The sequence below is a fragment of the Homo sapiens genome, chromosome 4, assembly GCF_000001405.40.
Source record: "Homo sapiens chromosome 4, GRCh38.p14 Primary Assembly".
Lineage (NCBI taxonomy): Eukaryota > Metazoa > Chordata > Mammalia > Primates > Hominidae > Homo > Homo sapiens.
In genome coordinates, this window is record NC_000004.12 from 28,976,868 (window position 1) to 28,993,320 (window position 16,453).

A 16,453-nucleotide genomic window follows, 5' to 3' on the forward strand; every position below is an offset into this window, starting at 1 on the left:
TTTCCTACCAAAGACTGATCCTTCTGCTCCTCTTTCAGAAGGATTCTTATGTTTATATTGGGACCCTCTGGTCAATATAGGATAATCTTCCCATTGCAGACTCTTTAATTTAATCACTTATGCAAGTCCTTTTTACAACATAAGGTGACATATTCATAGATTTATAAATTCACAGACATCTTTGAGGGGTCCATTATTCAGCCTTACCACCATATATATATTCCAAATTTTTATCATATTTTTAAGGACCTTCATCATCTTCTCTCAAGCTGTCTTTTGATGCTGTCCCATCAGTCTCTTCCATAATAATTGTATTCAATGACTTTTACGTTTCATGACTACACATCGAACTGTCAATATATAATTTACTTTCCATCAGTGTGAGTTTCTTCATGCTTTCTTTTCTCAACATGCCTTTCCTCTTATTTTCTGCCTGGTGAAATAGTAATCATTTTCAAAAAAATTCAGCCAGAGTGTTTGGGATCTTCTATGCTTTCATAATACACTAATATTTGTGTTATATTAGGACAAATTTTGCTATACAGTCAGTAAACATGTATTTGTCCACTTTTCTAGACTGTTAACAATTTGAAAACTGAAATCTTTCTTACTCTGTATTGTCATTCTCATGTTAAACACAGAGCCTTGCAAAAATCTATTGTTGTTTATGAGATTAATGAATCCACTTGCCACAGCTTGCCTGAAAATTTAGACCTGGAACGACAGCTTTGAGGGCCACAGTGCATTGATTTGTTATTCTTCATATCAATTAGGGGTCTTAGTTGCAAAACAGCAGAATCCCCTACAGCTGTTTTATGGAGAAAGTGAATATAATAAAGAATGTTAGATAGCTCATAGAATCTCCCAGAAGACAAAGAAATAAGCTTGGGGGTCATGCAGCCAGGAATAATAGCCAAATCATACTGTCAGGCTGCTCCTGTGGGGCCCAGTATGATGCTATTGCTACATACAGTCACCTAAAATCACACACCACAAATGTTACCGCCAGGACCTTGGCTACTGTTGCCTCTGAAAAATACTCTCCCTGCCTGCTTTGCAAGGAAGGATATCACAAGGTTGGAGGATCTGAGTTTTTCCATGGAAACACCTGACACACAGAACCAAGGACACATGTCTGCACCCCAGATGTATAGAAGGCATACAAAACTGTTAAGCTGTTAAAGAGTTGGGCAATTTCAACTATGCCCTTTCCAGAAATAATGTAGAATTAGATAAGCCCATTGCATATATTTGTTTTAAAGAGAGAACTTGAGAAATCAAAACTATACCTTATAAAATAATGACATTTGTCATTTGGAGGGGCAGCAAATTTCCAAAGAAATGTTTATAATTTTATGAAATACTCATTTTTATGTAATAATCCAGTCAACTAGGTAATGCTGTGAGACACACACTGAACAGTGACTCATTTGGATTAAAATATGATAAAACTTGTCTAGGGTAGTAATGTGTAGTTCATTAGATTAGTAATAGAATTGTGGTCCATTTTCCGTTAGCTTTTCAATCAAAATCCATCACTATGTTTTAGACATGAAAGCCACTTTTTTTCTGACAGGGTTAATCACTTAGTCCAGTCTGAATTGAAATAGCTTCCTTTTTAAAGAAGCGAAATGCAGTGGGAGGATAGGATTAAAAACACTGGGCTTCAAGTCAGGAAACAAACATTCTGGTGGGCCAGTGAGAAGCTAAAAGACATAGGAAAAAAATTAAAATTCTATATCCTTCATGTTGTCTTAGGTAGAATTTAATAAGTAGACTACAACTCTTAGATGTCTGATTGATTTAATATTATGTGAGTAATTGGAAAGATATTTCTCAGCATATATTATATAGACTGAAAAATGAAACATGTAATCCATTGAGAATAAAATGTAAATGTTACATGAAGTACTGTTCTATTTTCTGCACTCAATAAACCTACTTGTATTTCTAGAAAATGTGATTGTAAAGTACACAGAAAGGTTTGGTTCTTTGTCCCGATTCCTCTGACCTTATGCAAGGAACTGATTTTTCTCCTTCTCAGCATGATCTGTAAAAAGGGTATAACCATGCTGCTTTCCTTATACCACAGGGTTCTGGCAAAAAATCAAATAAATAACGCAGAAAGAAGTTATTTTCTTAATTGAAATGTTACATAGTTATAAGGGTCCTTTCTGGGTGTGTTACCGTCATTGCTCTGCTACTGTAGGACTTCAATGCCAAACAAACGCACAATGCCAAACAATCTAATGGATACATGACACAACTAAGGTTAAAAATAAATAGAACACATGGAAACAAGAGGATATAGCCCCATTATTGGAGCAGGGTTTACAATAGAGAGTGAGTCCAATCATTCTACCAAGGATCATGAGGCTCCATTGTCTCTAGAGCAGGCTGGAGGTAATGAGGTATCTGATTGAGAGATGAGTAGAGCAATTTCCATGGTAGTTTTAGAATAGATGAAAAAGATGAGTTACAGGAAGTAGGTTTCAGTTAGTTTCTTAATCTCTTTTGGCTCTTGTGACAGAATACCACAGGTTGTGTAATTTATAATGAACAGAAATGTATTTAACTCACCATTCTGAAGGCTGGAAAGTCCAAGATCAAGGGGCTGGCATCTGACAATGGTTTTCTGACTGGATCATTCCACATCAGAAGGGTGGAAGGGCCAGGAAGTGGGTGCAAAAGACAGAGCCCAAAGGTCTGGGCTTCTTTTACAGCATCACACTCCTTGAACTGATGACTACATTAATTCATTCATGAGGACTTTGCCCTAATCACCCAATCACCTCTTACTAGGCCCTACCTCCTGATATTGTTGCATTGGGAACTAAGTTACCAACATATACATCTTGAGGGGCACATTGAAACTATAGCAATTAGAAAGGGTGTTATTTTGGAAGTGATAAGTAGGTCAGGTTCCCCATTCTGTATACTGAGGTTTAGGGGTGAGCTCTATATGCTGGTATCAAAATGTTTGGTTTCAACATTCACTCAAGTTTCTGAGTCCTCCTAGATTTATAATTCAGTGATAAACTTTTGTAAAACACAGTATCAAGCCTAAGAGAATATGTTTATTTAAGATTAATTTAGCTTTCTATTGAGTTTGCTCCTACTTCTTGTAAATTTTTTAAAATTTATGTTAAATAAAAAGTTTTTTTATTCTGTAAATTTTCCTGGGAAAAATGGAGAAAAAAGTATTTTAAAAATTAGATAGATAGCCATACTTTATTTGTGGGTCGTGTTTAATAAGTAATAACTTATTACTTTTATTAATAATTAATAATACCCATGTTGCCTCCTGCATATATACAACTATACTCATAATACGTTATAAATAATATTTTATTCAGGAAATCTATAATTTTGACCTTAATGAACCTAAATGCTATGACCACTTCATTGAGTAGTTGGTAGCTCTGACTGGAATTATAGAAGCTAATGTTCTAATTCAAACTCTACAATTTACTATTTATTTAGCTAATACATTTAGTTTCTTCAAATTCCAATTTTCTCATTAAAATTATGACTTCAAAGGGATGTTGTATTTATAAAATAAACTAATGTAGATGAACACTTAAAAGAACTTGTCAAAAACTAAATAAATGGCAAAAGTGGTTATTCCTAAATTAATTATATTTTTATAATTATTTTGAACTTAAGAGTCCATAAAAATGGTTTAATTTTAGGTATAGCGGTAAAAAGAATTAGCATTAAGGTAGCATGGCCAAAAAAAAAAAAGTGGGATTTGGAATAAATTTTAGCCAAACAAATCTTGTGTATATTTTAGGACTGAAAAAGTCACTGATGTGACTTTTTTCTTTGAGGTAATGAGAAATACCTTGTTCATTTCTCAGCTTTAACTCAAGAATCAAATGACATAAAATGTGTTAAAGGACTTTTAAAATTGTAAAGCAAGATACGAATCAATGTAAGCTTCTTATGATGATTTTATATTTCAAATGTCTCTAGACTGACTTATTAGAACTCTACAGTTTCTAGATTTTTAGAAAGTTCATTCATTTGATTATCACAGTTTTTAGAAAAGTTTCGGGCTAAGCAACACCAGAGAGACATGACTAAAAATAACAGCAGTGCAACAAACCTTGCATGAAAGCCAGCATTTTGAAGACAGCAAGAGCCTGTCTGTTAAAATTAAACCCCAGGGTGGTCTTGAGGGGCAAAGATTAAATATGATGACCTGCAAGAACTTCTGATCCTGTCTACTTATCCGTTTCATAAAAACATTTTCCTTTTACCAGTAACAAAATTTTAACAGGGATTGATGCTTAACTGTATATTATTTTCAGATAGCTCTATATAAAAATCTGTAATACTGCCCATACTTGAGGTAAATGTTTGGTATATTTAATCCATTCTTAAATGCCAAATATCTACGTTTAGTCATGGTCAGATAAAGGGAAGAGTCAGCTGCATTGGCAAGATGTTATACATAAGTATATCACTTGTGATAGCATTAGCGCTAAATTCATCCCTTGAAAAAAGTTCTAAAACCATAGATGAGCCTTCTGATCTTGAATGGATGGACTAAGTATATTTTAACAAAATACCAATTAAAATTGGAGTGTCTTCCAAAAGGACATGGGTATAAACTGGGTGTACTTGAAGACCTCCATATTTAATTTATTATGTCATCTCAAAAGTCCCAGGTTATAATGCAAAGTTAAATCATAAAATTCTGGACCAAGGCTCTCTGCCTAGTCTTTTGACTAGGATTTGGATGATCAAAATGCAAGCAAGTGCAATCTGAATTAAAAAATAGATGAAATGTGGAAGAATATGCCTTAACAGAGACTAGGGGAGAAAACATTCTAACAATAAACAATATTATGCCAACTGTGATGATGTAAATACAAAGTTTGAGGTTGCCAAAGTGCTATAGAAATGTATGTAAACTTTATCTATTACAGATAGTTTCTTTAATTTCATGCATGTTGCGCCTAGTTTTATTTTTCTGTTTATTTTTGTTTTCACATTATTTAAAATGAAGCTCTAAGCAATTACTTTAAACTGAAAACACTAGAACAAATACCATGAAGATAAGATAAAACTACTTGTGATATATCCAAACAAAAAGAAATTAATATGTAGAAGAGATATCTCCATTCCCCTGTCAATTGCAGCGTTATCCAAAATAGTCAAGATATGGAATCCACCTGTGTCTAGTAATGGATAAACGAATAAAGAAAATGTATATACAGTGAAATACCACTCAACCTCAAAAAAAAATGCTGTCACTTGTGACAACATAGGTGAACCTGGGGAATAGTATGATCAATGAAGTAAGCTAGGCACAGAAAGACAAATCCTGCCTGATCTCACTTATATGTGGAATTTAAAAATGACAAACTCACAGAAGCAGAGAGGAGAATGGTGGGTACTAGCGGCTGGGAGGTAGGAGTATTGAGGTGTTGGTTTAAGGGCACACACTTCAGTCAGACAGGAAGAGTAAATCATGGAAATTCATTGTAGAGCGTGGTGAACATGCTCTACAATATAGTTAATCATAATGTATGTTATACATAAAATTGCTAATAGAATAGATGTGAAATGTTCTTACCACAAAAATGATAAGTATGTAATGTAATAGAAATGTTAATTAGCTTGATTTAATCAATCCACAAGGTATACATATATCAAAACTTCATGCTATACTTCATAACTATGTACAAATTTATTTCTCGATTAAACCTTAATAAAGTTGAAAAATGAAGACAGAACCATTACAAATTAACTATAAAGAGTTTACAAATCCAGATAAACCACAGTCTGTGTGAAAAAATCCTATGCATGTCATGATGAAGAATCCATGGAGGCTGCAATTCAACTGGCCTACGATTTTCTTTTTTAAAGCCAGAGTCATGAAAGACAAAAAATAATATATATATAAATAAAAATAAAATTTTTTTCTTGGTGAAGCACTGTAGATTAAAAGAACTCAATAGACTTTGCAACTAAGATGAAAGTATTTTCCTTTAATTAACAGCATCTTTAATAAAAAATAGAGATAGTTGAGTATAGACTGCATATGAGGAGTGGTAGTATATTGTAAGGTGTTAATTATACTGCAGTTATGCGGAAGAATGACCTAGTTATTGGGCAATACAAGGTGAATATCTGCAATTAAACAAATATTTTAGCAAAAGTTTTATGTATATATACACACACGCATATACATTCACATATACACATACATATGCACACATAATTATATACATACATATATGTTACATTATTTTAACTATATTTCCTTTTAGTAGGGAAATATCAAACTGCTATGTTAACTTAAATTCACCAAAACCTTTTATGGTAGACTTGTGGGTAAATTGTTGAAATCTGAGATGTGTTATAAAAGAAGTACTGGAAGTTTCTACAGGTCCACAAATGCATAATTCTGTATTTTTCTCTTAATTCTGTCAGTAAATATAAAATCTAAATTGAATATATTTGTTTTCTATGCAATGAAGACAATAGATTTGGTGGTTTCTACGAAACCACTTATTTCTAGAATTCTGTGACTTATTTTATGTGTGACATTTAAACAATAGTAAAAGCATCAATAGAAAGCAGTTAATCATGATTTTGCTATTCAGCTTTCTCTGCATATTTTAAGGTTCTGATTACAATGCTACATGTGGACAAACTGCAAGTAAGTCACATTTATCATATGCTTGCATTGACCAAAGGACAATTAAAAGTCATTAAAGTGACAAACAATGGACTTGACATTATTAACCTAAGCATAAACTGGAAAAAATCCATATTCTAGCAATTTAAAAATAATTTAAATAAGAAAAAAACCTCACGCATTTAAAACTATATTGCTCTGAAGCCAATACAATTCACTCACATGGTGAAAATTAAAGAGAATTGGTTATTTATTCTGCAGCTGAATAAATTCTCTTAGATTCCTGGGCAAATAGTAAACTGAATTCTAACTTATTTAGGAAAGAAGTAAAGAACAAAGATTTGTTCTGTAAATGTTCACTTATAAAGGTGAAGGAATTGAAGCTTAGGTAGATTTAAAAACTTTAATTATGGACACATCTGATTAGGAAAAACACAGGATTTGGACTCAGATGTATTGGACCTAAGGGTCTGTATCCTTTGTTACTGTGCTATATACTACATTCCACATTATAAAATTTATGTTGTAAGTTTTTAATCCTGATCCTTATGTTTACTCTGTGAACTTGGAAAAGGTCTCAGTTTTTTTCCTCTTTAAAATAGGATAATAAATTCTGCATTTTGAGATAGTTTGTGGTATTAAACATTGCACTATCATTATTAAGAGCTGAAAAGAATACAAAGCACGGCATAGTTAAATAATTTTAATACCCAAAATGTTCACAGTGATGATTATGTCCAAAATGTTCACAATGATGACTATATCCAAAAGTGTAACACCTTCATGTTATATATGAAAGACTCTTAGTCAAGTAAGCTTACGATATATATTTTTTCAAATTCATACAGTGAAACAAAATGTCAGAGCAATCTAGCGAAAAAGCAGTTTGAATACATTAAATGGTATTTCACACCAGTGTAAGGACTGTGTCATTATAATACAAATAAAAACATGAAGAAAAGATTTTTCTTGGAAGATTGTCCTGGTTATTTAACAGTAAACAATAAAAAATATAAAACATATGAAATATAAGATAAGTAAAATGATTGCAAGTAATATGTAATATAAATTATACAACTATAAAAACACAGTCCAGAGGTACAATAATATATGATATGAATAAATGAAGTATTTAACACGTTTGTTATATGACATATATGTATATATACAAATTTTTACTTATGTAATATATAAACAATAATGACAACAACCTAATAGAAAACTACTAATAACATTTGGCCAAAATCGAAATGTATCATAAGAAACTTTTCCCTTTCTCCCTCCTCTTCTACTCACTCCTAAATCCTAGAATATCTTATAGCGCCTTACCTCTTGTGAATATTTTACCCCATTATTTGTTTTATTTCTCAAGTGTAATCTGGACCTTTTTTAAAAAAATGTTAGCCAACTATCCTCTCACCAGCTTGCCTCCATCAAAGTGTATAATACTTTGATTTTAATTTCTTCAGAATCAATCTTACTACTGTTGCAGTAACTTGCCATTCAAAACCACACTGTATGTCTCAATAATTTCGTAGCACATTTATTTGAGGCAGTGATGTCAGCTGGTTGCGAGAGAGTAGAAAATGCAATGCTTATGTCTAGCCTAGAGAAGCAAGCAGCATTACAACCCATCTTCTTTGTTTGGTATCCTTTTGTTACCTTTACGACTTGCATACCATAATTTACGCTGGGGATTATGTGCAAGAGAAAACAAGGGGAGAACTTTTGATGTTTGACTTTGGTTCCTGGGATAACATTCTTATTGCCCATTCTTACTGTATAGTAATACACGATCAACCACACTTATTTTCAAAGACTCATCTGGGTCCATGTCTGGAGATGCTTTTCGTGTTTCATTGTTCTTTCTCTACCTCTAACGTAGCAAAGATTACATTAATAGTATTTCACACGTGAGAAAATAGACAAATTCTGCCATTAATAAAGTAATTTCATAATCACAAAAAAGGATTATGGTAATTTACAGGAAAAAAATTCACATGTAGTTTACAGTATAACAGCAAATAAAATACAGTTATCCAGGAGAACAAAAAAGGAATAGACTATTGGGCAAAAAGGGTGTGGGTCTGACATACGGTAATGCCCTCCTTACCCCTGAGAACCCCAGTGGCTGCCTGAAACCGTGAATAACACCAAATCTTATATACAGTATGTTTTTTTCCCATAAATACATACCTACGATAAAGTTTAATTCATAAATTATGCACAGAAAGAGATGGACAATAACTAATAACAAAATAAAGCAATTATAACAGTACACTAGCATCAGTAGGCTTGTGCTTTGGGGCCATTATTAAGTAAAATAAGGGTTACTTGAACACAAGCACTGTGATACAGTGACAGTTAATCTGATTATCAAAAAGCCTACTAAGTGATGCAGGGAAGGGGAGTTTAGACAGCATAGATACGCTGGACAAAGGGATGATTCATGGTCCCAGGCAGGACATAGCAGAAAGGCACAAGATTTCATCACAATAATTCGAACACAGTGCAATATGAAATTTATGAATTATTTATTTCTAGAATTTCCCATTAGATATTCTATTTTTTATTTCTTTTGTTTTGTTTTGTTTTTCATGGCATTTTCCAAGACAATGTCATTATCTAAAGAAATAAAAACTAACCATGGATTCAGACTTCTTTCGAACAAATGAGTCTCTGAACATTTTTAAAAAGCCACAATTCTATCATTGTCTAAATGATTCCAGTATATTTATTTCTATTTACACACACATTTGATGAATCCTTCTATACTTATGAATTAGACTCAACCCAACTGGAACTATTAAAGTTTCCAAAAAAAACTATGAATATAGTTTTTAAATCTAAGGTTAGTATTCAAACATACATTTCTAAAAGAATGTTTCAAATGAAATTTTTTCCACTTCTAAAATGGTCTGAAACTATGGTTGACATTTCATAGTTAAGGTATACAGAATTTCATTTTTGCCTTACAGATTAGCAAATCATGGAAGAGTTAAAAATGGAAAGGTACCGCATTTGCTTTCAATTCAGAATTAGTTAAATTTTAAAAAGATAAATTTTTGCTCAGGATTGTGTTTCTTCCAACAACTGTACAACTAAACAAAAAAGCACTTTCTTTAATCTTCATCACATCTTTCTTTACTCCTCAAAATAATATATTATTTTCCATTAATATAATTTTTTGATTATAGTTTTCAATCATCAGATTGTCATTTAGCTTCTTTTTGTCATTTACTCAAAAATATAAAAGTCTCAGAAACCCAAACTGTCACTCGGAGAATGTAAACCATGATGACATGTCCATGAGTCTCATTTTTTTAATCGACTTTATTCTTTAGAAGAAGTTGTTTTAGGTTCACAGCAAAATTGGGCAGAAAGTACAGAGATTCTCTACAAACCTCTACCTGCCCCCCAACACACACAGCCTCTCTACTCTCAATATCCCCTACCAGAGTGGTGCATTTGTTATAATCAGTGAGTCCACAATGGCACATTATTGTTATGTAGAGTCCAGAGTTTATATAAGGGTTCATTCTTGGATACATATGTAATGACATATATCCACCATTAGTGTCATACACAATCGTCTCCTTGCCTTAAAATTCTCCTGTGCTTTGCCTATTAATCTCTCTTTATATAAACACACACGATTTTTTTTTGAGACAGAGTCTCTCTCTTGCCCAGCCTGGAGTGTGCTAGGGGCTGATCATAGCTATTCATCTTTCTTTCCCCCCAACTGCAGATATGTACATATGGAAGATATATATATATATATATATATATTACACACACTTGGAGAAAGAGTCTCACTCTGTTGCACAGGCTGAAGTGCAGGGGGTGCTGATCATGGCCCACTGCAATCTCAACCTCCTGGGCTCAACTGATTCTCCCACCTCAGTCTTCTGAGCTGAGCAGTTGGGATCACAGACATGTGCCATCATGCCCAGCTAAATTTAAATTTATTTTTTTAAGAGATTGGAGTGTCACCATGTTGCTCAGGTTGGTCTCAAACCCCTAGCCCCAAGCAATCCTCCCACCTCTGCCTACCAAATGGCTGGGACCAGAAGTGTGAGCTGATATTTTTACTGCCTCTAGAGTTTTGCCTTTACAAAGTGTCATAAAGTTGGACTCATACAGTATGTCGCCTGTTCAAATTAGCTTCTTTGACTTAGTAATACGTATTCAAAATTTCTCCATCTCTTTTCATGGCTTGATAGCTCATTTCTTTTAGCACTGAAGAACATTCTGTGTCCACAGTTGGTTCCTTCCAGTGGGTTCGTAGTCTCGCTGACTTCAAGAATGAAGCCGCGGACCTTCGCAGTGAGTGTTACAGCTCTTAAAGGTGGCACGGACTCAAAGAGTGAGCAGCAGCAGGATTTATTGTGAAAAGCAAAAGAACAAAGCTTCCACAGCATGGAAGGGGACTGAGGCAGGTTGCTACTGCTGGCTGGGGTGGCCAGCTTTTATTCCCTGATTTGTCCCCTCCTATGTCCTGTTTCTGTCTTATCAGAATGCCCTTTTCTCAATCCTCCCTGCAATTGGTTACTTTTAGAATCCTGCTGATTGGTCCATTTTACAGAGCACTGATTGGTCCATTTTACAGAGTGCTGATTGGTGCATTTTACAAACCTCTTGCTAGCTACAGAGCACTGAGAGGTGTGTTTTTACAGAGCACTGATTGGTGCATTTTACAAACCTCTTGCTAGCTACAGAACGCTAATTGGTGCATTTTACAATCCCCTTGTAAGACAGAAAAGTTCTCTAAGTCCTCGCTGGACCCAGGAAGTCCAGCCGGCTTCACCTCTCAATTCCATTATCTGAATATACCACAGTTTTATTTATCCATTCACCTGCTAAAAGATACCTTAGTTGCTTCCAAGTTTATTTATGAGTAAAGATGCTGTAAACATCCACGTGCAGGTTTTTGTGTGAACTTAAGTTTTCAACTTGTTTGGGAAAAGTTCGTATTAACGTTCAGTTTTGTAAGGAACCACTAAACTGTACAATTTTGATTTCCCACCAGCAATGATTTAGAGTTTCTTTTGCTCCACATCCTTATCAGCATTTGGTGTTTTCTGTGTTCCGGATTTTGGTCATTCTAATAGATGTGCGGTGACATTTCATTGCTCTTTGTAAATTTTCCTTTTCTCAAGTTGGCTAGGCTGTCTTAAAACCCCAACTAATTAGGCTAATAAAATAGCTTTTCTTGAGGCTTGGCTTTGTTTTTCAAATGGTGATTTTTCTTCTCCCCCTGCCGGAATCATCAGGGGATTTTTCTCTGACAGTCACTGTGTGACCTGGTAGGGCATCTGGAGGTAAAACTCACAAGGTGTGGGGATCCACCTATGGCTAGGCCTCCCTAGTTTACTCACAAACTTTTCCACACTGATTCTCTGGAAGTTTTTCTATTACAGTTTCGATTTTCCTACCACGGTACTAGATCCCAGGAGGTTTCTGTTTATGGGTTTCTGCCCTGGGAAGTAGTAATTTTTTTATATCTGCCTGTCTTTCCGATGTGAGAGGCATCGGTTTACCCCGTGATCTCACTTCTTTTAATGGGTCTAAGAGGAGTTTTTTATTGTTCAGTTTGTTTCACTCTGTACCTCTTTTTAGAACAAACTGGAGACTCCCAAGCTCCTTACATGACTGACAGGAAAAGCCTCCATGATGTCATTTAAAAATTTTTGGAAATCCCAAATATGACTGCAGATGACAGGAATTATCTCTATTGATTCAACTGACATTTGTAAAGTAAAACTGAATTATGCATTGAGAATAAATATATTGGTTTAAAATTATAAAAACAAACTTTTATATTCAGAGGTTAACAATTCTGCGTGTTTTCTGCTTCTAAAATGGAGAAATATTTCGTATCGTATTTTTTCAATTACCTTTGTTTAAATGATAAAAATTAATATTCTGAGAATAATTTTATTTGATAAAGATAAGTGTTTAGTCAGAAGTCCTTTAATAAATTTCCTTTTACATTTATGACAAGTCAAGCTCATTCTGAAAAGCTTTACCCATTTCCTTTCCAAAAAGTGCCAAATGTCTCCGATTTTCTATTTTTTTCCAAAGTAATTCAGTAGAAGGAATTTCTTTAGGAGCAAGTTTTCTTTTAATCTATTCATCTATCTATTGATCTATGTATTTATCCAAGTCTGTCATGTGAAGTGTGTATTAAAGATTACACACAGGGACATTTTCATCACCAGATATCTGAGTGCTTATTCAGCATGTACTGATACTATGTGTTTAAAATAATTAAGTCACAGGCTCGGGAAGTAGGAGATCTGGCTAAACTTTTCAGATTCAACGTTTAACAATTTTTGTGACTTTTTCCAACAGCATGTATATACAAATGTAAGTGAAAGACTAGCTAATGTTAATGTTCAGACAATGTTTCTCTATCTTATATTTTAAGAATATGGATAAGGGTTTATTGGCACATCCAAGATAATTTCTTGGGCGTTTCTTACTTTGAAAATATAGATAATATCTCAACTAACTTATTCAGAGTTTTAAGTAAAACCAAATGCTAATTTAATAGTTTTGGTTAATTTTTTTGGATTACGCTAGAACCTCACTTAATTCTCAGAATTATATGTATTAGCTTCCCATAGTTACCATTACGAAATTCCACAAACTGGGTGACTTAAGACAACACAATTTTATTGTCTCACATGTTTGAAGGTTAGAATTCAGAAATCTAGGTGTCAGTAGGGCTTTAGCCCTCCGAAGTCTGTAAGGTAAGATGCCTTCTTTTCTTCTTCCACCTGGTAGTAGCCCCCAGTGTTCCTTGGCTTGTGGCAACATAACTCCAGTCTCTCTCTGTCTTCCCATGGTATCCTCCCTATGTCTCTTCACACTATCTTCCCTCTCTGCGTGTTTCTGCATTCAAATTTCTTCTTTTTATGAAAATCTCAGTCATATCGGATTAGGCTCTTGGTAGTGGACTCATTTTAACTTGATTATCTCTGTTACAAACCTTTTCCAAGTAAGGTCACTTTCTGAGGTACTGGAAGTTAGAACTTTTTTGTGGGGGATACAAAATGCAACCTATAACTCTTAGTATCTCTTTTAAACCTTTTGAAAACTCTGCTAACACAAATCAAATAGTATTTTATTCATTTCTATGTTCCACAAATACATTGAAATTGTATAATTAAACCATAAGAGGTGGAAAGCTGGCTGACAAGGTTGTTGTCTACAATATATGTTATGAAAAATCAAAGTAGAAGGATGTTTTCTTTTTCTATAATGCTAAGTTACATAAAATATCAGTTGAACTAAAAATCTCAGCCATTTCTCTAGGTAGTGAAATTTCAATTCATTCCTAAAGCAAATGCATAATGCTGGACAATCAGTGCATGCTTAATAATGAGGAACTTCAGAAAAAAATGTAGTTCCAAAATACATTTTTTTCTTTTCATTATCTGTGAAACTTCACCTATTTCACAGTTCAGTTAAAAATCCTATAGCTTAGATTTCAGATTCATGATCATCGACCTGCTTGCAACCTGTGATGCCTATATTCCTTTAGAATCATTAAGTTCAGAAGACCAATATTCTGGGTGAAAAAAAGCTCTTTATTTCTGTTTTATTTTTATGATCTATTTTAATAGACTGGAATGTAATAATGAGAAATAGTAGTAATTAAAAATATAATGGTTGCAATTAAATAAAAAACTTGTTGTAGCCATTGTAATGATCTTGGATGTATGGGTAAGACATATGAATGCTACTATACATAGGTTGTAAAAAAAGAATTGCATTTATAAAATGTAAATAGAGTGTGGGCGGTGTAATTTTCATATATTCATTTTGTTTCTACCATAATTCTATCATTAAACATGAAATTGATTGCTTATCTAATGTTCCTAAAAGCACAAATTCAGATAAAATTCCCCCAAATTTAACTGTTTTAGTTTTTATTCAGTGGCTAATACACCATCAATAATTACTTCAACAGTTTATTATCCTGCCTAATATAATATTGTGCTTTTTTCTAAAAGATTATTGATGTATTCCAAATGATTAGGACAAAACAAAAAAATACTTAAAATGGTTATTTTCTATTAAAACTAGCTATTTATTCAACTGGACATATCATTTGAAACTTCTCACTTATATGATGGTCTTCATAAAAATATGTTTAGTCAATATAATATTCAATTTAATAAAGAAATTGTATGGTAATGAGAGTCATAAAGTGAAATAATAGAAAAACTTCAGAAAATGATTTTCCTCTGTCATCTGTGAAATAAAAGTCCATCAACAAATTTTACATATATGGACACTTGATTGTGTGCAAGACACTGTTCTTGATAAAATATATCATTTTGTGTCACAAGACAATGCCAAAAACTTCTCTTAATGTTTATATGAAACAACATATGCTGCTTCCAACAGTGACACATATTTTAAATATATCTTTCACATATATAATAAATGTGATTTGCTCTACAACTTACAATGTGCAAAAAAGTAAGATGTTTTAAGTATGCCACTTCAAATCAAATAATTCTTCTAATTTCTCCTGACTAACATGAGTGTGAAGTCCATTTGAGGTTTAAATCAATTTTCTATTTTTTCCTTACCTTCATTTTTATCTTAAAACAGATATGTTAACAGAGTTTAGGAAAGAGTTTGGTACCCCTTTTCACACCCACCTGTCCACTTTGAAACTCCTTTTTAATACTTAACATAAGACTGAGACATCAATAACAAAAGTTTATTAACTCTCTTAAAAAGATAAAATTTAAAAGGGTAATATCAGATTATTCCACTGTCTGTCTTAAATTATTTTAAAAACTCTCCACTCCCATTTAAGATAAAACTTAAACTCTTTATCCTGGCCTTCAAAAGCTTATCTGACCTAGCCCCTACCTACCTCTTGCACTTCATCTCAAATCACTCCTCTAACCAACCAGATTACAGCTGAACTGTTCTTTCTGTTCCTGGAATATGCTAAGTGTGTACCTTTGCAACACCTACTGGAGTAGTCTTCTCATTTGTATTTGTCTAATTGATGTACATATTTTCAATATCTTGCACAGACCCTCTTTATCAGAATGTTGCACTCATACATGTTTACTGTGGGGTTTTGTCTGTTAACCCTGGAGAGTTACCCTCAGCAATGGAAATCATCTTACCCAGTTATACTTTCCATGGGATAATAGCCCATACCTGATGACTGATTGATACAAGGGTGTAAAAGTCTATCCCCCTTGTCTCAAAGAGGTAACACTCTGTGGTACCATTCATGCTCCAGAGCTTTGTGTGTGATCAGTCTGAGGATGCACACTTTTCCTAGCTTCCTATCTTGGCTTATTGTGATTTCCTCCCTCCTTTCATCTTTCACCTAAATCGCATCTTCAAACAAAACTTCTTGCACAAAAATTATCATCTGAAGCACTGCTTAAAGAATAGGAAGGACTTAAGATAGTTGGTACAAGATTCAATGCAAAGAAATGGACTTTAAGGGTGAAAGTTTACAGTCACATAACTTGTTGCCTGGATGGCAGTGATCCCCTTGACAAGTGTTAGGTGGAATATGGATTATCCTTGGTGAGTTCTAACAGGGTGACTGCTGAAGCTGTCCCTTTTTGGAAAGCAGGACAAAGTACAAATAGAAGAGACACATTAGTTTGTGCAATGTTTCTGGTATTTGAGAGGTCTGAAGGCAATAACCACAAGGACTATGGAATTGAGTAGATACTGCCACAGCCATGGATGTGTTGTTATCTATTATACACAAATACTTAAGTCAGAGGGTCTCATTGGAAACCTTTA